The sequence below is a fragment of the Homo sapiens genome, chromosome 9 (genome assembly GCF_000001405.40).
Source record: "Homo sapiens chromosome 9, GRCh38.p14 Primary Assembly".
Classification (NCBI taxonomy): Eukaryota; Metazoa; Chordata; class Mammalia; order Primates; family Hominidae; genus Homo; species Homo sapiens.
The window spans coordinates 135447298-135473018 of NC_000009.12; the positions used below are offsets into that span (position 1 = coordinate 135447298).

Consider the following 25721-nt stretch of genomic DNA (forward strand, 5'->3'; position numbering starts at 1 on the left):
GAGAGCAGGCATCCTCCACCTGTCGGGGAACTGTGCCGTCCGGGCCATCCTCCACCTGTCGGGGAACTGTGCCGCCCGGGCCTGTCCTGCCTGGCCGCAGGTACCCTGCATAAGGCTGCTCTGCACACCCCAGATGATTTTATAGCCAATGGAAAGAGTGGGGAAAGTATGGAACGACTTCAAATACAGGTGTCAGAATCGCTTCAGTCACAAGGGAGGAAGCCATAGGGAAAATATAGACATGAAAGCCAAGGGCGGTTTGTCTGTCAAAGAGAAAAGCATCCACACAGGGAGACTCAGCTCAGCCACAAAGCAGTCCCTTAAGAGAAAAAACATTTTCCCTTACAACTGGGATTAAGCCCTTCCAAGAGTTCTTCAAGGAGACACCAAAATGGTGCCACCAAAATCTCTCAGATTATTGAAACAAGCACTGAAAGAGGACAATGATTCTTGTGTTACCCCAGGAACAAGACTTCATGAAGAGATTCCTACTCTCCACATGGTCCACAGGTGGGAGGAACAAACATTCCTGTTCCACAAAGACCCAGAATTCACTGGATACTGATAAAATGTTTACTAGAGGCCGGCGCAGTGGCTCATGCCCATAATCCCGGCGCGGTGGCTCACACCTGTAATCCCGACGTGGTGGCTCACACATGTAATCCCAGCACTTCGCAAGGCCAGGTGGGGGGATCACTTGAGCTCAGGAGTTCATGACCAGCCTGAGCAACATAGTGAGATGCCGTCTGCAAAAATACAAAAATTAGGCCAGGTGTGGTGGCTCACACCTGTAAACCCAGCACTTTGGGAGGCTGAGGCGGGTGGATTACCTGAGGTCGGGAGGTCAAAACCAGCCTGACCAACATGGAGAAGCCCTGTCTCTACTAAAAATACAAAATTAGCTGGGTGTGGTGGCACATGCCTATAATCCCAGCTACTCAGGAGGCTGAGGCAGAAGAATCGCTTGAACCCAGGAGGCGGAGGTTGCAGTGAGCCGAGATCACATCATTGCACTCCAGCCTGGGCAACAAGAGTGAAACTCTGTCTCAAAAAAAGGAAAAAAAAATTAGCCGGGCATGGTGGGTGCATACCTGTAGTCCTAGCTACTTGGGAGGTTGAGGCAGGAGGATAGCTTGAGCCCAGAAGCAGAGGTTGCAGTGAGCTCAGGTTTAGCCCCAAAATGGCATCTGACTAAACAGCATACAGCTCCTGTGAGCCCACATTCAACATTTCTGACACATTTGATCCATCTTTGGTTTCTACAGAAGACAAAGAAGATAGGCTTAGAGGGAGAAGATGGCTTGGTATTGAAGAAGGGATAGATCCCCCTCCCAATGTACAAATAAATACATTTGAAGCTACTGCACAGGTTAATCCCTTAAAGAAACTGGGGCCAAGGTTAGCTCTTGGAGTTGCTGAAATAAGTGGGGACAGTTCTGCAATTCCACAAGCTGACTGTGACTCAGAAGAGAATCCAAGCGCCCTGTGTTTGCAGTCACGGAGGCAGAAGTAGCATCAGTATCTGGAGACAGCCTTGCCCATGTTAGCAGACGGGGAGCTTGGAAAGTCCACACACAGACTGATTGCACACACTGCCTCATGCCCGCTTTGCTTCAGATTACAGGGAATCGCTGTGACGGGGGAGTGAGGGACTGTTAGGAAGCAGAAGCCCTTCTGGAAAGGAAACTCGAAGGCCCTTTTTTGCTCAGGGACTCTGTGCAAGAGGACACCTCCTCTCTGTGAGCTTCCGCCGCTGCACCCGGTCCCTTTATGCACAGATTGAGCAGTGGGATCACAGCGTGTGTTTTGATGGCCATGGCCCATGTGTATTTCACTCCTCCGCTGTAACAGGTCTTTTATTTTTATTTTTATTTTTTTGTTGTTGTTGTTGTTTCTTTTTGTTATCGTTTTTGTTTTTGAGAGGGAGTCTTCCTCTGTCACCTAGGCTGGAGTGCAGTGGCGCGATCTTGGCTCACTGCAACCTCTGCCTCCTGTAACAGATCTTTTAGAACATGATCAAAATCCCAGTTCCTGCTTGTTTTTGTTTGTGACAGAGTCTCACTCTGTCACTCAGGCTGGAGTGCAATAGCATGATCTCTGCTCAGTGCAACCTCCACCTCCCAGGTTCAAGTGATTCTCCTGCCTCAGCCTGCCAACAGGCGTGTGCCACCATGCCCAGTTAATTTTTTTTTTTTTTTTTTTTTTTTTTTTTAGTAGAGACGGGGTTTCACCATGTTGGCCAGGCTGGTCTCAAGCTCCTGACCTCAGGCGATCCACCTGCCTCAGCCCCTCAAAGTGCTGGGATGACAGGCGTGAGCAACTGCGTCTGGCCTCATTCATGTTTTTTGAACCACTGCTTACTGTATCTCTAAACAGGACCTTTCCTTTCAGCCTGCGGCATCTGTCTGCAGGAGTCTGCAGGTGCACTGCGTATGATGCAATCAGTGGGCTCCCTTTATCATCAACGTGGCAGAATTTTTTAAAGGACTATCATTATAGGCCAGGCACGGTGGTTCACGCCTGTAATCCCAGCACTTTGGGAGGCCAAGGGGGGGTGGATCACGAGGTCAGGAGTTCGAGACAAGCCTGACCAACATGGTAAACCCCGTCTCTACTAAAAATACAAAAAATTAACTGGGTGTGGTGGTGCGGGCCTGTAACCCCAGTTACTCAGGAGGCCGAGGCAGGAGAATTGCTTGAACCTGGGAGAAGGAGGTTGCAGTGGGCCGAGATGGCGCCACTGCACTCCAGCCCGGGTCACAGAGCGAGACTCCGTCTTGAGAAAAAAAAAAGGGGTATCATTATAAACAAAAAGTTAGGTTTTGCTAACTAGAAAGAGAACCAGTCAGGGCAAAGCAAACTGTCCTGTCCCCAAAGGGTGTTAACTCAGTTCACTTTTGTGTGCATCAGACAGTGCCCCAGAACAAGCACACACATCACTGCTGGGTTTTTTCATGCCATCTTTGACCTTAGTGCTGGTATCTGTTAGGTGCGACCTGCTGTTATTTATCCAGATGAACGTGGTGCCTGGTGGAGCAACAGGAGACACCGCTCCAGGTGTTCAGTAAGCCTACCAAAACATGTGGCCGATGTAGCTAACAGATGGGTTTGTAATGGCTGTAGTCATTGAGTGAGGCAGGTCAGGGGCATCTGCTCTGACGAATTCAATTTCTTACTGAAGAACAAATAATTAATATTGGATGAGTATTGCAACTGTCTGACTAATGCCTAAAATTATTTTTTCTAAGAGTTTTTCTATCATCTTCCAAAAGTACTGACGTTTGAAGTTACTATAAGTCAAGCTTTATAAGTCAAAAAAAAAAAAATGAAAGACTGCCTTCCTTTTAGGAAAAGAAATGCAGTTTTCTGGCCACGAGGGCATAGTGCAGTTCACTTAAGTGTTGATGTATTTTATAGTCAGATTCTTTCTCTTCTCCAAAAGCTACTGTTAGGTAAACCAGCTTTTCTAAATAGTCATTCTTAAAATTTCATACTTATAAAGTTAGTAGTAGAATTTCGTCTAAAGGTCCTAGGTATTAATATTTTTAATGAGTGTTTTAACTTAAAACAGGTATGTGGAATCGCTTCTGCAATATAGTCTTTTTTTCTTTTTTTCTTTTTTTTTTTTTTTTTTTGAGATGGAATCTCATTCTGTCACCCAGGCTGGAGTGCAGGAGCATGATCTCAGCTCACCGCAGCCTTCACTTTCTGGGTTCAAGCAATCCTCATGCCTCAGCCTCCCAAGTAGCTGGGATTACAGGTGCCTGCCGCCACACTGGGCTAATTTTTGTACTTTTAGTAGAAACGGGGTTTCACCATGTTGGCCAGGGGGGTCTCGAACTCCTGACCTCAAGTGCCTCGGCCTCCCAAAGTGCTGGGATTACAAGGGTGAGCCACCGTGTCCGGCCTCTGCAATATACTCTGGCATGTAATTTTTTAAAGTTGATGTGCAGTCTAATCATTGTTTCATGAAAGTTGGATCTTTCCCTATGCCCATGACGATTTCACGAACCATGAAGAACACGAGACTAGAAGATGCCCCATCAAGACAGACAATAATAACTGCAATGGTTGCTGATGTTGAGTTTATTGTTAAACTGTAATTAATAATTTGGATAGCAGTAGTTACCTCTTTGTTGTAAATTCTTATAGCTGAGGCCGGGCACAGTGGCTCATGCCTGTAATCCCAGCACTTTGGGAGGCCAAGGTGGGCGGATCATGAGGTCAGGGGATCAAGACCATCCTGGCTAACACAGTGAAACCCTGTCTCTACTAAAAATACAAAAAAATTAGCCAGGCGTGGTGGTGGGCGCCTGTAGTCCCAGCTACTCGGGAGGCTGAGGCAGGAGAATGGTGTGAACCTGGGAGGCGGAGCTCGCAGTGAGCTGAGAACGCACCACTGCACTCCAGCCTGGGCGACAAAGTGAGACTCCGTCTCAAAAAAAAAAAAAAAAAAAAATTCTCATAGCTGAACTGCTTAAGTATAATGTATCGAATTTCAGGGCAGTTCATTCTCAATGGAAAATCTGAAACCTAAATTGCAAATTTAAAAGGTGCTGTACAACCATTGTATCTGTAAACGACTTTACTTAGCAACTTTTTGTCACCTGGAATACTATGTAATACTATTTGAGTGGGCTCTTTTGGAAGTTACATCAGGTTCTAGTGTCTGCTTCTTAGAATCTGAACTGAATGTGTACAGTTCTGTCCTAGACATTTTGCACTAAAGCAGCCTAATCCGTCCTTGCATCTTTTTGTTAATGTGCTCTGTGCCACTGCGGACTGCTTCCTGGTTTCCTTCCATGCTGCTGCAGAATGTCATTTTACACTCCCATGGCTATCGCCAAGGCTACAGGGAATATATACATTCGAGACAGAGTCTCGCTCTGTTGCCCAGGCTGGAATGCAGTGGTGCAATCTCGGCTCACTGCAACCTTTGCCTCCTGGGTTCAAGCAATTCTCCTGCCTCAGCCTCCTGAGTAGCTGGGATTATAGGTGCATGCCACCACGCCCAGCTAATTTTTGTATTTTTAGTAGAGACAGGGTTTCACCATGTTGGCCAGGCTGGTCTCGAACTCCTGATCTTGTGATCCGCCTGCCTCGGCCTCCCAAAGTGCTGGGATTACAGGCATGAGCCACCGGGCCCAGCCAGAAAAGCTGTATTTGTATGCAACACTAACCCTTGGACTGTGAATGTATGTTTCTTCTTGCTGTGCCTTGTTACAGCTGCTTTTTTGTGCTAATAAAGTATGTTTGGTGTTCTCCTTGTTTTTTGTTGTTGTTGTTGTTTTTGTTGTTGTTTGTTTGTTTTTTTAAGAGTATATTTAAATGAGAAACAACCACATTAAAAAATGCTTCTTTGGTAATCACAGAAGTGAAAATTAAAGCTATAATGAAATAACACCTCACATCCATCAGACCAGCTGAAAACAAAAAGACTAACAATGATAAACCTTGGCAAAAATACAGGACAGCTTGGACACCCATGCCCTGCCGGTAGGAGCGTGAACAGCACAATCTCTTTGGAAAACTCGCAGTGCCTTCTAACGACAGTGAAGAAACGCCCACCCTATGACCCCCTAATTCTACTCCTATATATACTCCTATATATAATATACACTCCTATGTATATACCCAAAAGACATGTGTGCACATGTTTACTGGGAGACAGGCATGAGAATGTTCACAGCTGCCTTATTCATAATTGTCAATCAAGAACGGATAACTTGTGATGTTCATAAAATGGGATTTGACAAAATTCAACAACCAGTCCTTAAAACCAGAACAAAACAAAAACGTGGATAAAAAGAATAGTTGGATACTTCATATCTATCTCTGTCCAAACCCCAGCATCATGCTTAATGGAAAACACTAGAGAATTTTCCACTAAAGGCAGGGACAACTGTAATCCTAGTGCTTTGGGAGGCCAAGGTGGACGGATCACTTAAGGTCAGGAGTTTGAGACCAGCCTGGCCAATACTGTGAAACCCTGTCTCTACTAACAATACAAAAATTAGCTGGAAATCACTTGAACCCGGGAGGCAGAGGTTGCAGTGAATGGAGATCATGCCACTGCACTCCAGACTGGGCAACAGAGCAAGACTTTGTCTCAAATAAATAAATAAATAGTCAGAGACAAAATGGGTTGCCGAGAGTCATAGGTTGGTTTTTCCAAAATTAGACCTAAGACTAGGACTGGAATGGGAGAAATGTATTTGAGGATGATTCCAGGAAGCACAAGTGTGAGAATGGAGAAGGTGAGACAAGGGAATGGAAAAAACAAGACAAGTGATATTTTTTTTTTTGAGACAGAGTCTCACTCTGTCTCCCAGGCTGGAGTGCAGTGGTGCAATTTTGGCTCACTGCAAGCTCTGCCTCCCGGGTTCATGCCATTCTCCTGCCTCAGGCTCCCGAGTAGCTGGGACTACAGGTGCACACCACCACGCCCGGCTAATTTTTTTGTATTTTTAGTAAAGACGGGGTTTCACCATGTTAGCCAGGATGGTCTCGATCTCCTGACCTTGTGATCCACCAGCCTCAGCCTCCCAAAGTGCTGGGATTACAAGCATGAGCCACCATGCCCAGCCGACACGTGATTTATAAGTAGGACAGGGCTGCAGCCCACTGTTCTCTGAGCTCTGCCCTCAGAGGAGTCCTTCATTTCCATAAGGAAAGGCCCCTGTGGGCAGCTGATTTGCTTTCTCACTCTAGTTCTTCCACAGTGAAAGTGAGGCACCCAGAAGCCCTTGTGCAACTTGAACTATCTCCGTTTGCACTGTGGGGCTTTCACCAATAGAATTCCCTTTAAAACTCTGTGAATTACTTATGAATGCGAGGCAAGTCCTCTTCATCCAACAGCGTCATGCCCACAGATCTTTTTTAGACAGTCCTTTCTTCGACTTGGGTGGGATGTGACGGTGCTATGGGACAACACCCTTAAGATTCTTAGAAGTTTGTTTGTTTCCCTGGGAGGCTGTACTGGCCACTGCCTGAAGTCTTTCTGAGGTTTTAACAAAGGACTTAAGCTACACGTTTGATTTGATCTTTACCCGGTGACCACTTCTTTGAAACAGTTTTATTCCAGTCCAGCAATCTGGGCTCCTCTCTACTTCCTCTAGATTTCTCTTGCAAACTGGATGGTTGTCATTTCAACTCACCTCTCTCTCTCTCTCTCTGGATCTCACACAGTGAAATGAAACTACCTGTCAATTTCAACATTCTACTGAGAAATCTTCTTGGTGGGATCCCACAAGTTTGTCAGGTGCATTTTCTATCTTGTAAGTTACAGCAGATAACATTTGGCCAGATGTTGGGCTACCATGTAACACCATTTTTCCACTAGCTATAGCATTTTTTACACCTTTCCAGACTCCACTAACAGTTTTCCATTTTCTCAGCCCTTGCTAATAGTTTCCTTGCCACTTTTCCATTTTCTGCCCACTGTTTGGTCCCAAACCTATGGCACATGGTTTAGGTTTTTGTACAGCAGCACCCCACTTCTGGATTCCAATTTCTGTTTCAGTCAGCTTTTGCTGCATGACAAACACCCCCAAAACTAGTGGCTTAAAGCAACGGCCATTTCATTTGTCATCATTCTCTCGGTCAACAGCTTGGGCTGTGCTCAGCTGGGCCATTCTTCTGCTGGTCTCAGCTGCTCTCCTGCATCTGTGGTCGGTTGGTGAGTTGGCTAGTGGCTGGGTGATCAAGGTGAGGACCTCCACTAGGACAGCTCACTGCCATCCTGGAGGTTTGTCATTCTCAGCCCATCCCACAACCCTGAGCACAGCCGATTACAGCAGATACCTGACCCAAGGACACAAACCCACAAGTCGGTGTGTCAGCTGTGACTTGGGAGCCCAGCTCAGAAAGGTGACCCTAGCCAGACTCCTTGGAACTGAGCTCAAGCATTAGACACAGAGCTGCTGTTGTGGAGGTCCCTGTAGCCAAGCATCTGGGGTATAGCAAAGGCTGGTAGCTGTGTTCTGCCATGCTGGCTGTGGGCCCTCGAGAGAAGCTGGTCACCTGGAGCAGAGGCCTGGGAGGCTGCCCAGAGAGGCGGCAAGATCCACCTTAGGATAAAAGCTCCTGCCAACCTCTGCTCCCTGTGCTGCACAGCCAGCCCCCGGGTTCCCTCAAACAGCAAACTCCCCGTCATTTGAGTCTGGGTGGACAGCTTCTCCTTCATGCTCCCAGACCAGCGAGCCCCCCGGTCCACTTCCACCCAGGTCTCTCTCCTGCCTGCCCGCCCTCTCCATACCCAACTGGGACACCTCCACTTCTCCCGAATGACCACGGTCCCCAGCCTCCCAACTGTCTTGTAGTTGTTCCCGTCGCCACAAACTTAAAGTCCACGGCGGCCAGCTGGCCTTTCTAGACACAAACAAGAACATGTCGCTTCTTCCCAAAGTACTCCCCAGTCACAGCCCCTCTGAAGCAGCTCCCCTCCCGCTGGAGTTCCCGGCTCTGATGAGGAGTCCACGTCCGTCCTTTCCCACTCTGCATCCTCCCAGCTCCCCGGCCTCTGACCTCTAGTTGGGATCCACTCATGGGGGCCCTGGCAGGAGATCAGAGGGTGGGAAGGAGGAAGCTGGTGGTTCCTCCCCATCCTTGCAGAGCCTGGCGCACATTTCCTCCCCTCGCCCCTCAGAGGAGATGCTCCCAGCTCGCGTTCTTAACCCGGCCCCATCACTTGGTAAATTGTCCCTCGTTAAATCAACTTATAAACACATGCCTGAGAATTTAAAGCTGCTATTGTTATTTTGTATCAAAGGAATAAAAGTGGAATTTTTTAGGAATAAAAATGCGATTTTGAGGAAATCAATTGTAAGGCATAAAAATGTGATGTGGGGAAAACACTTCTTATGCATCTTCGTCCTCCCTTCTCCTCCTCCCCACGTCGCTAACATGACTTCAGGTCTACTTATCTGTCAGCACTGGAACCCCTGGGGTCCTTGGGGCTGGGACAATCAGGACCAAGAAGGCAGGACCAAGAGGCCTGGCTGTGCAGATGGTCAACTGGCTGAAGGATGGAGACAGAGGTGAAAGCAGGGATGGAGGTGAGGGGAGGGATGGAGGTGAGAGGAGGGACGGAGGTCGGGGAGGGATGGAGGGGAGGGGAGAGATGAGGGGAGAGATGGAGTTACAGGGTGGGGGATTGGGCCACCTCCACCAGGAGAAGGTGTTTCAGAAAGGCGAAGCCGCCCTCCCCAGGATCATCCATGAAAATCCCAACAGGGGCACTGAAGCCTGCAGTAGTCCTCAGAATGTTCACAGCTTCCTCCAGGATGTGAGAAATGTCGGTGCACTTACCACTCCACCATGTCTACCAGAGAAGAGAGGACCGCGGTCACCTGCTTGTGCTGCTCCCGCGGCGCCTCTCCTGCGGGCTTCGCCTGTAGTGGTAGTGGGAGAGAAATGGGTGGAGAGAAGGTCGTGGTTTGGGGTTTTCAGAGCAGTTTAAAGAAAACAGTCTGTCATCTGAAGCTGAAAAGCCAGTGCGGTAATATCTGATTGTCACTGGGTATTGTCTGGCCTAGGAATGAAAGTGACTGGGCAGAAAAGGCCTTTTTAGCGCCATCTGTCTCCTGGAGTCCTGGTCGCTCACTGTGCTTTACCAAAAAAAAACAATTAATTAGTTCATAGGCTGGCGAGGAGTCTCCTCTGGTTTGGGGCCAAGAAGCCACCTGCCCCACTGGGCTCTGTCTTTTTCCTGGAACCCTTCCTGCTTCTTTGTTCAGCCTCCCACGGGACAGCGAACTTCAGTGGCAGCGCTGGTCTTGCTGACCCACCCTCCCGACTTGGACAGGGCCTGCCTGGCATGGCAGGTGCTGTGAAGGAAGCCACAGGATGGAAACCCTGATGCTCTGCAGACAGAAACAGCTGCCGGGCTTGGGGACCTGGCTGGATGTCTTCCCCCTGTGCCTCTGTTTCTCCATCTGTATAGTGGGATGGCTGGCAGGGCCCAGGCCCCTCCCACCATCCATTCCAGGGCTGCTGCTCTCTGAAAATACATCCAAGAGCACAGGTACCTGGACGTGGTATTCCTGGATGGTTCTCAGCACGTGTTCCAGCAGGGCAAGAAGGGCCCAATCCAAGAGACTGCAGCAGCCCTGGAAAGCCAGTGTTTACAGTGGATAAGGACCACAAAAGAACAAGAAGGAACATCCCTCCAGGTGGGCTGGTCTACCAGGCTTCATGGGGAAGGGTCTCAGAGGTCCTGTTTGAGGCAACCTGGGCTGGGGGCAGGGGGAGGTACACCAGGGGAGGGAAAGGAAGAAGCCATGGTGAAGGCTTTTCTGATGGGTTTGGTGACTGGGGATGAGGGGTGGGTGGCAGGTAGAGGAGCCAGGGTCCCTGGTAGGCAGGACAGGAGGTGCCCAGTCACAACTTTGGGGACCATGGGGCTGGAGGAAAAGGAGGCAAAGAAGCAGTTGGGGCGGGAAGAAGCAGCTCAGCTAAGGCCCGGAGGGGTGCAGAGGCTCGGGGAGAGCCAGCCCTCTGATGGCAGGCCCTACTGCAACAGGAGCCGTATGAGTGCCACTGAGACTGGGAAGGGCAGAGAGTGAAGGATGCCACTGATAGAAGGTCTACTGTCTATGAGGTCCCCATAACCTCGGTGGTGGAGACATGGCCTCCACTGTGCCTGTAGGGAAACTGAGGCAATTTCCCAGGGTTCCTCAGCCACTGTAAGACATGGCCAGGACTTTTTTTTCTTTTTCTTTTTCTTTTTTCTTTCTTTTTTGAGGCAGAGTCTTGCTCTGTCTCCCAGGCTGGAGTACAATGGCGTGATCTCGGCTCACTGAAACCTTCGCCTCTCGGGTTCAAGCGATTCTCCTGCCTCAGCCTCCCGAGTAGCTGGGACTACAGGGAGCTGCCCGCCACCATGCCTGACTAATTTTTTGTATTTTTAGTAGAGACCAGGTTTCACTGTGTTAGCCAGGATGGTCTCGAACTCCTGACCTCGTGATCCGCCCACCTCGGCCTCCCAAAGTGCTGGGATTACAGGCGTGCGCCATCGCGCCCGGCCCAGGACTTTTTTTTAATGTCACTTTTATTTGAAGTTCAGGGGTACACGTGCAGGTTTATTGCATAGGTAAACTTGTGTCATGGGGGACTGTTGTAGATTATTTCATCATCCAGGTATTAAGCCTAGTACCCCCTCATTATTTTTCTTGATCCTCTCCTTCCTCCCACCCTCTACCCTTTGATGGGCCCCAGTGTGTGTGTCTTCCTCTCTATGCGTCCATGTGTTCTCATCATTCAGGTTCCCCTTATAAGTGAGAACATGCAGTATTTGGTTTTCTGTTCCTGCATTAGTTTGCTAAGGATAATGTCTTCCAGCTCCACCCATGTTCCTGCAAAGGACACGGTCTCATTATTTTTTATGGCTGCATAGTATTCCATGGTGTATATGTACCACATTTTCTTTATCCAGTCTGTCACTGATGGGCATTTAGGTTGATTCCATGTCTTTGCTATTGTGAATAGTGCTGCAATGAACATACACACATGCATGTGTCTTTATGGTACAACAATTTCTATTCCTTCGGGTAGATAACGAGTAACGGGATTGCTGGGTTCAATAGTATTTCCGTCTTTAGGTCTTTGAGGAATCACCACACTGTCTTCCACAATGGTTAAACTAATTTACACTCCCACAGATAGTGTATAAGTGTTCCTTTTTCTCCACAACCTTGCTAGCATCTGTTATTTTCTGACTTTTTTTTTTTTTTTTTTTGAGACAGAATCTTGCTCTGTCGCCCAGACTAGAGTGCAGTGGCCGATCTCAGCTCACTGCAACCTCCGCCTCCCGGGTTCGAGCGATTCTCCTGCCTCAGCCTCTTGAGTAGCTGGGATTACACATGCACACCACCACACCCAGCTAATTTTTGTATTTTTAGCAGAGACACGGTTTTGCCACATTGGCCTGGCTAGTCTCAAACTCCTGACCTCCAGTGATCTGCCCGCCTCAGTGCTGGGATTACAGGAGTGAGCCACTGCGCCCAGCCCATTTTCTGATTTTTTAATAAGAGCCATTCTGACTGGTGTGAAATGATATCTCATCATGGTTTTGACTGACATTTTTCCTTCCTTCCTTCCTTCCTTCCTTCCCTCCCTCCCTCCTTCCCTCCCTCCCTTCTTTCTCTTTCTTTCTTTCTCTCTCTTTCTTTTTCTTAGACAGACTTTTTCTCCTGTTGCCCAGGCTGGAGTGCAATGGCATGATCTCAGCTCACCACAACCTCTGCCTCCCAGGTTCAAGCGATTCTCCTGCCTCAGCCTCCTGAGTAGCTGGGATTACAGGCATGCACCACCACGCTGGGCTACTTTTGTATTTTTAGTGGAGACGGGGTTTCTCCATGTTGGTCAGGCTGGTCTCGAACTCCCGACCTCAGGTGATCCTCCCACCTCGGCCTCCCAAAGTGCTGGGATTATAGGCATAAGCCACTGCGCCCAGCTGACTGGCATTTCTTTAATGATCAATGATATTGAACTCTTTTTCATATGCTTGTTGACTGCATGTATGTCTTAAGACATGTATGTATGTATGTATGTCAGCCAACAAACATAAAAACAAGCAATGTCTCCCATTGTTTGTTTTTGTCAGCTCTGTCGAAGATCAGGTAGTTGTAGGTATGCAGCATGGCTGGGATTTGAACTCAGACCTGGCTGGCTGGGAAGCCCAGGCCAGTCCCAGGAACATCCTTGCCCTGCATCCCTACAACCGGGCTCTGTCCTGGGTGTCTTTCCCTCTCTCCTTAGAGGCCAAAATGCAGGACCTCCCAGCTCCAAGGGAGCCCCTGGGAAGGAGGGACCCCAACATCTTTCTCCAGGTGCCCATTCAAGGCTCCACGCCCAAAGGAGACCCCTAGGCCTGCCCCAGCCCCGACGGCAGAAGGCTTGGTGCTACCCCTGGGGCAGGGGGCCTTGAAGACTTCCCTGGCGATCAGCTTAGGACACTGCCTGCCACCTCCAGGTGTGGTCCAGGTGCAGGGAGACAGGTGGGGTGACGTCCCCAGTGCCCCCCTGGATGTGGCAATAAACAACCCACCTCCTTCTCCACTAGTGGGACCACCACCTACCCTGAGCCAGATCCAGACCCCAGGGGCCCCCTTTACCCTTCTTTTCCCACCCCGCATCCAACCACTCAACAAGTCTGGTCAACTCTCCACGGAAATAAATCCCAACTCTGACCCCACGCTGTCAACCTGCTTCCACTCTGCCCTGTGGTCTGCGATCCCCACAAGAACCTGAGAAATGGTTTTTGCTTTCTCAGAGTCAGGTTATGAAGGTCTAATTACACACGGAGTAAAACTGACCAGTTCAGAAGTAAAGCTCCACGTGCTTTGCATTGTGCGCTGTGTGTGGCCACCCCACAGTCGTGATTAGAGCATTTTCATCACCTCAAAACTTCTGACCTGCTGCTTTTTAATCAAACTCCTCCTTACCCTCCCAGCCCCAGTTCCGAACACCCACTGATCTGCTTTCTGTTCTTAGAGTTTTGCAAGTTATAGGATTTTGTATAAATAGAACCACACAGTTTATTCTCTGCTCCTTTCAGCTAGGGTCATGTTTCTGAGATTCTCCCATGCTGTGTGTGTCTGTACTTAATTCCTCTTCTGAGTTGAGGCTGTTTCACTGAATGGAAATACGACCGTCTTTTGGACCCATTCTGCAGTTTATAGACATCGGGGTTGTTTTCTGTCTGGGGCTCTAATGAATAAAGCCCCTCTGAGCATCGGCGTGGAAGGTTTTGTGAAGATGTGTTATTTTAAATGCTCTTAGGTGAATATGTAGGAGTAGAATCCCTGGGTCACATGATGAGTGTATGTTTAACTTTATAAGAAACTGCTAAACTGTTCTCGGGATTGCCTGCCCCAGGATTGTCCATTTCCACCAGCGGTGTACGAGCATTGCCACAGCTCCGCAGCTTCCTCGACGCTCAGCATGGCTGACGTTTCCAATTTCAACGACTCTGGTATGTGAGTAGTGGCACTCACTGTGGTTTACAGGATTCTCTCAAAACCTAAATCTAACTGTGACACTCCCGTCTGCAAACTCTCCCACATCAGGGACAATTTGAACAACAAACTAAAGAATGATAGTAAATAAATTATAATCCATAAATAATAGTCCACGAGTCCACACTTACGTACACACATACACACACACATAAGAAGGGTTAGCCGGGTGCAGTGGTTCACGCCTGTAATCCCAGCACTTTGGAAGGCCGAGGCGGTTGGATCACCTGAGGTCGGGAGTTCGAGACCAGCCTGATCAACATGGAGAAACCCCGTCTCTACTAAAAATACAAAATTAGCCAGGCGTGGTGGCGCATGCCTATAATCCCAGTTACTCAGGAGGCTGAGGCAGGAGAATTGCTTGAAACCAGGAGGTGGAGGTTGCAGTGAACCGAGATCACACCATTGCATTCCAGCCTGGGCAACAAGAGCAAAACTCCATCTCAAAAAAAAGGGAGAGAGGAAAGTCTTATTTACATAGAATGCCAACTGATAACTGTAGGAGAAAAGATGGTGTTGGAAAAACCATTTGGCAAGTATCATAGTAATAATGTTTTCAGGCAAGACTCATCATTGGATCTAAAACTAGTGAAAAAATAATGAAAGAATGAAAATAACAGATATAAATGTGATTGAATGTGAACATTTGGGTAATCTGGGTTAAGGAGAGAAGGGAAATATTTGTACTATGTCTGCACCCTTTCTGTGTGCCTGAAATTATTTTGAAATAATGGGTTTGTAAAATCCCCCAGCCCTGCCTCGCCTCACTGGAGCACCTGCCCGCGCTGCAGTGGCCGAGTCCCACCGCACTGACTCCTTGTTCACCTGCAGCTCTGGGAGGGCACGGCTGAGCCCTCCCTTTTTCTGCATTCCCAAGGCTGGCTCCTAGACGGCTCCAAACCGTTTCCAGGGTTCGCTTTTGTTTTCTGTTGGCATCTGCTGTCGTCTGACTCTAACTCTCTGCCAGGTGCTGGGCCAATCCCACACTCAGGAGCCTCGACTCAGGTGAACATCAGGTGAGCACGCAGCGTTCTGTGGCTGTCATTTCCATATGAGCCATGAAGGAAGAGTCCCAGCCAGGTGGAGAGTGGCGGGAAGGAGAAGGCTTCTCCCAGACAGGACCTCACAGATACCCAAGCCCACAGTGAAGCCACATTCCTGCAGCCCCAGTCCCCTTCTCTGCTCCTCAGAGAGACCCAGGTGCCTTCTCTGCAGGCACTCCACACTGTCACACACTGCTGGAGAAGGCCTGTGGAGACCTTGGCCGACCCCACGTGTTCCAGATTGGAGAAACTGAGGGCCAGGGTGCAGAAAGGTCTTGCCCAGGGCCTACAGCAAGTGCAGCTAGAGTGAACAACCGCATCCCCCCGGCTCCAGCCCAGGGACTTCACTTATTTACTTATTTATTTTTCAAATAACAGCTTTATTGAGATATGTTTCACACACCATACAATTCACCCATTTAAAGTGTACAATTCAATAACTTATATATTCACCAAGTTGCACAACTATCACCACAGTCCATTTTAAGACAATTTCATCACCACAAAGAAGAATCTTTTAACCATCACCTCCCCAGGCCCCTCACCTTCCCATTCCCAGCCTCCGGCAGCCAATAATATCCTCTCTGTCTCTACAGAGTTCCCTCTTCTGGACATTTCACAGAGACGATTGGCTTCTTTTGCTTATTTTCATTTGGTTTTTAAAAGAGGGCTAAAACTTAAAGTATAATAATAATAAAATAAAAAACGAACAAAAAAAAAGAGGGCTCCGGCTCTGCCATGGTCCCTCTGGGGTCTCCTGGGTGGAGGTGGAGAAGGTCCCCTCTGAGTTGCACATCCCCTTCCAGGGGCCCCACCCAGAGCACCAGGTCTTAATTTCAGTTTAGGGCAGAGGGGAGCTGGCGCCTCTGGGATGTCTCCTCCAATGACTCATAACTATTGCTCATCAGCTCCACCTTGGAAGTCCCTGCAGGGGACAGGATGGCTTAAAGAAATGGGAGCTTAGTCCAGCCTGGTTCCACAGGACAGAATGGTCATGACTTAGGAACTTTGTAATGACACTGAGGACATCTGCAATTCTGGTGAAAATGGTGCAGGTTTTGCCTGAGGAGTCAGCTGATCAGACACAGGGCACCACGTGCCAATGCACAGCTGCTGCTGGGTCCCAGGGAGCTCAGGGCTCAGGCGGGATCAGCCTGATTGCTTGTGATCTAAAGTAAGGAAATTTCACCCTCTTAGATGTCAGACCTTTTTGACTTTTTCTTCTTTACTTTTACTACTTTTAAAGAAAATCCAAATTATTTCCCAACTTAGTCAACATGTAAATATGTCCCAATTTTGTGAACTGTAAGTCACAATTTTGTGGCTAGTGGCCATGACTCTGAATGTGAAGGGCACTGTGGTTGTGGGCACGGGCTTGGAGTGAGCACACCTGTTCACTTTGACTTTATGTCCTTTTTAAGAGGAGGGGGCTTCCCAGATGGTTTGTGATGACATTTCCAATATTTAAGACTCCTCTTGAGTCCACCAGCCTGCCCCAGACTTTGACTCTGGTGGGCACTCCCAGCTGGCTTCCTTTTGCAGACTTTTCCACTGGCTGCGAGTATGGGATGGGAGGGGCAGGTGCACACACTGGACTCCAGGTATGCAGCCAAATTATCTATCAGGTCTCAGTGTAGAATAGAAACATTTTGGGCATGAGACTGTAGTCAAATATCTCAGCCTTGAGAAGAATTTTAAAGTTTTTCTTCCTTTCCCTCCTAGTCTCAGAATGCAGCCTTGAAACATACTTTAAACCTGTTTCCCTCCCTTTCCCACCAGCCACAGTGCTCACTTATCTCATTCTGTGCCTGCTTAGAAATGCCAGGGGCTCATTTTTAAATAAACCAGGCATAGAACCCAGCTGTGGAATCCTCCTGTCTAGGGGAGTTATGAACAATGAGTCCACCACCACCAGACCAAGGTCAAGATGATGCCAACTAGACCTCCGGATGGGCAATTACTCAAGACACCTGCACCACTGCCCTACTCCCACATGTCTCCCACACCGAGTTCTCCTTCCTAAAGCCCTTCACGCAGTCCAAAAAGCTGAGATGGTTCCTTAGAGCCTTGAGCCTGGCCACTCTCCCACCTGCTAGCATCTGAATAAAAGTTGCTTTCCTTTCACCACACCTCGCTTCTCCTGCGGCAAGCAGCCAAACTTGAGTCAGTTACAAGACATCTCTACCTCCCCTGATCCCACAGCTACAGGAGGACGCGCACCAGAAGGGAAATGTGGCCGGCCACAGTAGCTCACGCCTGTAATCCCAGCACTTTGGGAGGCCGGGGCGGGCAGATCACTTGAGGTCAGGAGTTCGAGACCAGCCTGGCCAACATGGTGAAACCTCATCTCAACTAAAAATACAAAAATTAGCCGGGCGTGGTGGTGCACACCTGTAATCTTAGCTACTCAGGAAGCTAAGGCACAAGAATCTCTTGAACCCAGGAGGTGGAAGATGCAATCAGCCAAGATCGTGCCACTAGTGAGCCTCTGTCTAAAAAAAAAAAGAAAGAAAATGTTAACCAAGAAATGGGAAGGCAGTGGGGGTGGGAAACTGGGGAACCCACTCGGGGGGAACAAGGGGGCCCTGTGGGGGCAGTAGGCCCCTCTCTGACATCTCTTCACTCCCTCTGCACCCCGCAGGCCCCTGCGGCCTGTGGGCCTCACCCCACACGTTTCCAGCTCCAGGCTGGTTTAGCTGGTTTATCTCTCTTTCTCCTTCTCTGTGCTTCCATTTGGATCATTTCTCTCAGTCAATCTCAGCATTGGTCCCTGAGTCTTTCCTCAGCTGTATCCAGGGGCTTTTATGCGAAGTGCACTCCAGCGAATCTGCGATTCCGATGCGGCCTGTCCATCCTTTCCCGAGGGCTCCATTGCCGGGTCAAAGCCTCCATCTTCTCATTCGTTTTATCCACCTTTTCCACTACCCTTGGTGCTTTGCCCAAAGCAAACAGTAAACAGGTCACTGCAGCAACCACCGTCTGGCCGGGGGAAGGTCCCTGGGGTGGAAGCCTCAGCCATGACATCAGACAGCCCAGCCAGCAAGTGACCCAGACCAGCAGGAGCACGGGGTGACGGGCTCTAGAATGAGAGTCGGCCGTGGCGCCAAGGCCACGGTGGTGGTGGTGGGAACTGGCATGTGTGCCACCAGCCCTCCCAGAAATTGTCACTTGAAGAATCAGCGACAGGACGGGATGGACTCCACGCAGGGCAGGAGGGAATGAGAGATGCTGCCGTACCCCAGAGGTCACCTCAGACGGTTTCGTCTCTACCCCTGGCTTCCCGTGTCCCGCGGGAGGACATTCACCTGCTGCCGGAGCTGCCGGACCTGGCAGGGGCTCACGGCCCAGGGGCGGACATCAGCTACTGAGGAATGGGAGTCGATGGGCGATCCCGGCTCCCTCAGCCCTCAGAGGGAAGTTCCGAGGCACGTTCCCCACGGCCCCCAGGAGCCTGAGCCCAGCTGCCCATGGCCGTCACCCTTCCACTGGCTTTCCTCCCCAGATGTCTCACACCCTTCCCTCACTGGGCCTCCTGGGGTCCCTGGTCCCCAGGTCCTCATCTCAGGGCCTAGGGGGGTCCCAGCAGTAAGTGCTAAATAACCCACTGCAGGAAATATGACTGCTTCTCTCTGGGAGAAAGGAGATGGAGGCAGGTCTCCTGCAAACTGTGGGTGCAACGTTGCCTTTAGAAGGTCAAATCCGTGCAAAGCGCCTGCAGTGGGGAAAGCAGTGGATGCACCCACCCCCCGGGGAGGCAGAAGAGGGAGAATGTGAGGGATGAGCTCTTGAAGGTAGGTGGGTGGGCTATGGGGGTTTCCGGCTCCATTCAAACCATACTAGGAAACCATCAGAGACTTTTTTTTTTTTTTTTAGCTTAATGAAATCTTTTTTTTTTTCTTTTTTTTTTTTTTGAGACAGAGTATCACTTTGTCGCCAGGCTAGAGTGCAGTGGCGCGATCTCCATTCACTGCAACCTCTGCCTCCCTGGTTCAAGCGATTCTCCTGCCTAAGCCTCCCAAGTAGCTGGGATTACAGGCACGCGCCACCACGCCCAGCTAATTTTTGTATTTTTAGTACAGACAGGGTTTCACCATGTTGGCCAGGATGGTCTCGATCTCCTGACCTTGTGATCCGCCCGCCTCAGCCTCCCAAAGTGCTGGGATTACAGGTGTGAACCACTGCGCCCGGCCTTTTTTTTTTTTTTTTTAAGACAGTGTCTTGCTCTATTGCCCAGGCTGGAGTGCAGTGGAACAATCACAGCTCACTGCAGCCTTGACCTCCTGGGCTCAAGAGATCCTCCTGTCTCAGTCTCCAGAGTAGCTGAGATTACAGGTGCACAGCACCATGCCCTGCTGATTTTTAAATCTTCTGTAGAGATGAGGTCTCACTATGTTGCTCAGGCTGGTCTCAAACTCCTGGGCTCAAGCGATCCTCCCACTTTGGCCTCCCAAAGCCTGGTATTACAGGCATGAGCAACCGTGCCCAGCCAAGCTTCATGGACTTTGATAGGGCAGACACTTTTTGTCACCACCACGCAAGCCAAGAGCTTTGCCAGCCACTCCAGGCCCCCTCCACAGCACCCTCATGGCCACAGCCCTCTCCCAGCCCCCAAAGTCATCACCGTCCTGACAGGATCTTCTCTCCCTTGTGCTTCTCTACACTTTCATTTAGGTCAAATTATTTAATATCTCTATCTTTAAACATGACAGTTTAGTCTGAGCCACTTTTTTATCTGATGTGTCTTTTAAATCTCTTTCCCCTACAGCTTCCACGCCATCCCTTTCTTTTCCTTACAGTCGATCTGGTGAATACCTGGGGCTGTCCTCTGCCAAGTTCCCCACAGTGAGAGTGGTTGCTGGCTGCCCCTCACAGATCAACACCTCCTCCCTTGTCCAGTGGGTTTCCTGCAAGGAGGCAGCTGGAGCCAGGGGCTGGGGCCAGGGGCCCGATCACACCCAGGCCCTGCATCTCTCTTTTTTTTTTGTTTTTTTGAGACGGAGTCTCGCTCTGTCGCCCAGGCTGGAGTGCAGTGGCGTGGTCTCGGCTCACTGCAACCTCTGCCTCCCGGGTTCATGCCATTCTCCTGCCTCAGCAGCCTCCCTTAGTAGCTGGAACTACAGGCACCCACCACCACCCCTGGCTAATTTTTTTTATTTTTAGTAGAGATGGGGTTTCACCGTGTTAGCCAGGATGGTCTCGATCTCATGACCTCATGATCTGCCCGCCTCGGCCTCCCAAAGTGCTGGGATTACAGGCGTGAGCAACCGCGCCTGGCCATCCCCTGCAGCTCTTTATCAAGGGCACAGAAGCTGGATGCTCCCCCTTTTCGAGGGGTCAGTGGCTGCATTACCTACACTCATTCATTCACCAGGGGTTGCCAAATGGTGATATTCTAATTCTACCATTCTTTTTTTTTTTTTTAATTTTTTTTGAGACACAGTCTTACTCTGTCTCAGCTCACTGCAACCTCCACCTCCCAGGTTCAAGCAATTCTCCTGCCTCAGCCTCCGGAGTAGCTGGGATTACAGGTATGTGCCACCACGCCTGGCTAATTTTTGTACTTTTAGTACAGATGGGGCTTCACCATATTGGTCAGGCTGGTCTCAAACTCCTGACCTTATGATCTGCCCGCCTTGGCCTCCCAATCTTCTTTCATTTATTAGTTGGATTGCTTAAAAAAAAAAAAGACTCCCCGATATGGGCAGGAGCAATGCTGAATTTTTACTTACCTGTCTCTAGATAATGAATTGATTGTTAGCCTCCAAAGATGATCAATTTGTTTTTGTTTTTGTTTTTGTTTCAGATTACGGTGAACTCATGGACTTAAACTTCTTTATGGGTTTTGAGCCACTGCAATTATCCTCACCAAATCTCAAGCTGTCCCACCTCTGGCACGTGGGGCCTCTTCAAGTTTTCCTCATTCATATTTGTTTGTCTGTTTGTTGTTTTTGGGTGGCCAGCAGGAGAGCATCCACAGTCTGTCTCTCCAGCCAAGGAGGAAGGTGACAAGACCTCCATCAAGGTGAGATCCAGGTCGGCAGCCTCTGGTTCCCCTGCCGTTAGGCTGGAAAGTGAACCCTCTGAGCCGGCCCCTGGGGTGGGGGCACCAACTCCAGAATACACTTTAAGCCTGTCCCCGCAAATCAAGGTCTCAGGTTCCGTGTTATGCTGTCCGTCTGAGGTCTTCAATTAAGTCTCGACCCCAGTGGGTAAGAAAACTAAAAGGTATTGTCAGGGTAGAGATGAAACCGCCGTTGCAAAATTATGAGCCAGTGAAAGAGATGAACCAACTCCACTTGCTTCTAAGCTCCAAGCTGTCCTTGTGCATTCCTGGGTGTAGGCTGAACTCCCCTTGGGAGGAATTTAGTTTATATTAATAGTTTATAGTTTGATACAAAGAGAATAACAGCCCTTTCCCAAAACAAAACCCCTTCTTGCCTGGGGACTAGACTGCCTTTGTAGGACTAACAAATTAGCCACAAGATTAGAAATTACGGTTAGGTGTCATGTCGCTGGAGGCTGCAAGATTCTGACTCTCCCCAAACTGCTCCCGGAGATAAAATCACGATTGTAAAACCTAAGACCAGTGCTTGAACTATTTTGCAGATCCTGCACTTGATGGATCAGCCGGCACCACCCAGATCGATAAACTGGCTCATCTGATCTTGTGGGCCCCACCCAGGAACTGACTCAGCGCAAGAAGACAGCTATGACTCCCTATTTCATTTCCGACCAGTCAGCACTCCCGGCTCACTGGCTTCCCCCCACCCACCACGCTGTCCTTAAAAACTCTCATCCCCCAGTGCTCGGGGAGACTGATTTGAGTAACGATAAAACTCCGGTCTCCTGCACAGCCGGCTCTGCATGAATTATTCTTTCTCCACTGCAATTCCTCTGTCTTGATAAAATGGCGCTATCTACACAGCAGGCAAGGTGAACTCTTTGGGCGGTTACAGAGATTGTAATGTATCCATCACATTTTTACAAGTTTTACTAAGACAGGATAAGAATCTCAGGTTTGGAGCAGGACATTTTGAATGGAGCTTTCTCTGCCATCTGCCCGGCCATATGACCCAGGGTCTCTGGACTCCCAGGGACACAGGCAGCCCAAAGGCAGTTCTGTCTTATCTCAAGCCTAGGAAGATAAGATAATGTGCTGGGATAATCCCTGAGAAGTTTCCTTCTCCTCCAGCTTAAAGAGGTAAAAGGAAAATAAAAATCTCAGGACCCCAAACTCACTATGCCAAAAAGAAGAGTTAAGCTTGGGAACTGGGTCACCCAAAACTACCTCCCAGTGTCTTCCTAAATAGACAGATGCAAAGACAGAAGGCCACTCCCCTCCCCAGGGGGCCCCCCTCACTGTTTGCTCACAAGGAAATACATTGTGGTCCCCAAGATCTTTTTTTTTTTTTTTTTGAGATGGGGTTTCGCTCTTGTTGCCCAGGCTGGAGTGCAGTGGCAGGGTCTGGGTTCACTGCAGCCTCCACCTCCCGGGTTCAAGTGATTCTCCTGCCTCAGCCTCCCAAGTAGCTGGGACTACAGGCGCGTGCCATCACGCCTGGCTAATTTTTGTATTTTTAGTAGAGATGGGGTTTCACCATGTTGGCCAGGCTGGTCTCGAACCCCTGACAGGTGATCTGCCTGCCTCGGCCTCCCAAAGTGCTGGGATTACAGGCAACACATCTTTTTTCTTTCTTTCTTTTCCAAGAACTTTGTCCTAAAACAGAGTTCTGCTGAATTTCACCCTGAAAATGTAAATTAACAGCTTATCTGCACAGGTATGGGACAAAGACAGGACTAGAAGTCTTCCCTCCGCTCACGGGAGACAAACGCATCTTTGACTCCCTCCTCTACTGTTCTTCCATAAAGATGCAGGTTCACTGAGCACAGGATGAATGCACAGTTTACTGTTCCTCTTCCACCTTTCCCATGTAAAACGGGGATTCAGGGAAGGCTCATCAACGCCTCAAAAGAATGCAACCGCTGGCCTCTTTTATCCACCCTCCCGTTTTTTTCTTTCCATTTTTCCCTACTGTCTGCTCTTTCCTCTTTGAATACGGAAGTTCTCAAACCCTCTTTGGAAATCGTGCAGGCCGCAGGTCCTACTGTGCTCCTTCGGACCCGCCTAGCCCGCGGAGCCCATCCTTCTCCTGAAGTTGCGGATCTGGTTTGCCGACACTTTCCCCTGGGCACGTCCTCAACCCAGGCAAAATAAACCTCTCGATAGATTGAGACTCCTCAGTCATTTTCTTTGGTGTACAAAGCACGGGCTCGTCTTCCTGTGTCCATCCCGGGGTTTCGGGGCAGCAGAGCTCCGTCTCCACAAGTGTTCAGGATCTATTCAGATGGTTCAGCCTCAGGGCCAGGCTGGGTCCTCTGCACCCCAAGCTGTGTCCTCTGTCTATGGCAATGACCCAGATAGGGCCGGTTCTCAGATGGCTCTGAAGAAATGTTTAGGGGTGTCTGGGGACTGTGCAATACCTTTCTCCACACTCAGATTACAGAGTTCTCCCTTGACCGTGGACCACTTCCTGGACACGGCTGCACACAGCTGTCACCTCCCTAAGCTGAGCCTTAAAGACCAAGGTCCCACTTTCCCAGTCTGCTCTTGATCCTTTAGAATTTTCACAAAGTTGGGCTGGGCACAGTGGCTCACACCTGTAATCCCAGCACTTTGGGAGGCCGAGGAGGGAGGATCACCTGAGGTCAGGAAACCAGCCTGGCCAACATGGGGAAACCCCGCCTCTACTAAAAATACAAAAATTAGCCTGCATGGTGGCCAGCACCTGTAATCCCAGCTACTCAGGAGGCTGATGTAGGAGAATCGCTTGAATCCTGGAGGCAGAGGTTGCAGTGAGCCAAGATCGCACCACTGCACTCCAGCCTGGGGACAGAGCAAGACTCTATCTCAAAAAAAAAAAAAAAAATTCACAAAGCAGCCCCCTCCTTTTTCAATTAAAAATATTCTGTGCTGGCCGGGTGCGATGGGTCACGCCTGCAATCCCAAGACTTTGGGAGGCTGAGGCGAGCTGATCATGAGGTCAGGAGTTCAAGACCAGCTTGGCCAACATGGTGAAACCCCGCCTCTACTAAAAATACAAAAATTACCCTGGCGTGGTGGCCAGCACCTGTAATCCCAGCTACTCAGGAGGCTGATGTAGGAGAATCACTTGAATCCTGGAGGCAGAGGTTGCAGTGAGCCAAGATCACACCACTGCACCCCAGCCTGGGGACAGAGCCAGACTCCGTCTCAAAAAAAAAAAAATTCTGTGCTGGTTTCCTTTTCTTCCTCCACGCCAGAGCCCGGAGGCTGTGGTCTACAGCTGCCGGCCATGCCCCTGCCTCCATGGAGACCTGGGATTGTGTCAGATGTCCTGCTCCAGCCTTTAAGAGCAGGAGTGGCTTTGTCACCAAGGGTATGCACGGCTTTTCCATCCCCTTTCATCCTGGGTGACACAGGCTGCAGATAATAATCACAGCCTGGGATTCGAGGGAGCCTGACTAGTCGCCGCCTCTCTCCCCCGACTCGGATGATCTGCTTCTGAGCCTGTCTTCTGTTGTGAAACTTACTCCCGAATGCCTTCACCTGATGCCGAGCAAAACGTCACAGTCTCTACCATGTTGCTATGCGGTAGCTGTAAGTAGACAGCACAGAGCACAACAATAGGTCACTTCTGCCCAACTGTTAACCAGGCAGCTGGTCACCCAGCTCAGTTACCTGCATAAAAGCCTCGGCGATCCCCGTGGCCACATTGGAAGTTCTCCTGTGGCTTCCACACTAAGAACTACATCTAGGGTTTACATCTTTTTTACTGGCCAACCTCCTTTTGCCTTTCAGGAGTGTGACTGAGCAACCTCTTTGGTTGTAACCAGAGACGCTGGTTTCAGAACGCAGGTGGAAAGGTCGGAAAGGTCAGCAGCTGCTGCCACGGAAACAAGAAGGGGTCTCCGGGCAACGGGCTTGGTCTGGAAGTGCTTTCACCTCTGTCCCCCAGCTCTCCCCTCTGGGCAATGGGCTTGGAATGGGAGTGCTTTACCTCCACACCCACAGCTGTCTCCATGCATGCACCCCCTCCGCAGGGGCCTGGCGGGGCAGCTCACCTGTGCTTTGCTCCCATCCTGGGCACTGAGGTGAGTCAGATGTGGGGGCAACCACACAGTAGCACCCCGCTCATCGGTTCCACTTGGGGCAGTGAAACAAAACACTGCTGATAAAAAACTTAAAAAGGAAAAGAGAAAAATTAAAAGCCCAGATTCCCAGGGAAACGCTGCATCTGAACTTCTGATTCAAGGGAGGAAAAAAACCCAAAGCAGCTGCCCTCGTCAGGCTGTGCCCACCCCCAATTTGTGCTCACCCTCGGTTCCTGGCCATCTCTGCAAGGGAGACCCTTGGAAATGGGGACTCCCTCCTCACTGGAGCCACCATCACAGATGGGACCTTCTGAAGGCCATAGGTGGCAAAGGGAGCCCATCCTAAGGTCCAACTTTGTGTGTGGCCACAGATAGACCCCAGGCCATCTCCCTTCCCTTTCTAACATGAGCTCGGGGTGTCATGATCCGTCAAAGCGGACCTTACCATCTCCCTTCATGACCACCAGGCTGAGAGAAAAGTGGGCAGGTGTTTCTCCCCGGGAAATACTGCTGCACTGTGGCAGGAGTG

General features: G+C 49.7%; 1 long non-coding RNA gene and 1 pseudogene across 1 annotated transcript, besides 1 other annotated feature; one reads left to right on the forward strand and one right to left on the reverse strand.

Moving 5' to 3' along the window:
* Window positions 136-2498, forward strand: SOCS5P2 (suppressor of cytokine signaling 5 pseudogene 2; annotated as a pseudogene).
* PPP1R26-AS1 (PPP1R26 antisense RNA 1) lies at window positions 15421-24952 on the reverse strand. The gene is made up of 3 exons (NR_038969.1): window positions 24780-24952; window positions 20791-21412; window positions 15421-17553 (listed from the first exon to the last, which is right to left on the reverse strand). It is a non-coding gene; the product is annotated as a PPP1R26 antisense RNA 1 (long non-coding RNA).
* Window positions 17672-18325: an enhancer, noted in NCBI's record as "H3K4me1 hESC enhancer chr9:138356815-138357468 (GRCh37/hg19 assembly coordinates)". NCBI's record gives its function as "activates a minimal SCP1, AML or CMV promoter by ChIP-STARR-seq in naive and primed H9 embryonic stem cells {active_cell/tissue: H9 hESC(naive and primed)}" and the evidence as "EXISTENCE:reporter gene assay evidence [ECO:0000049][PMID:30033119]".
* Window positions 24953-25721: the final 769 nt, after the last annotated feature.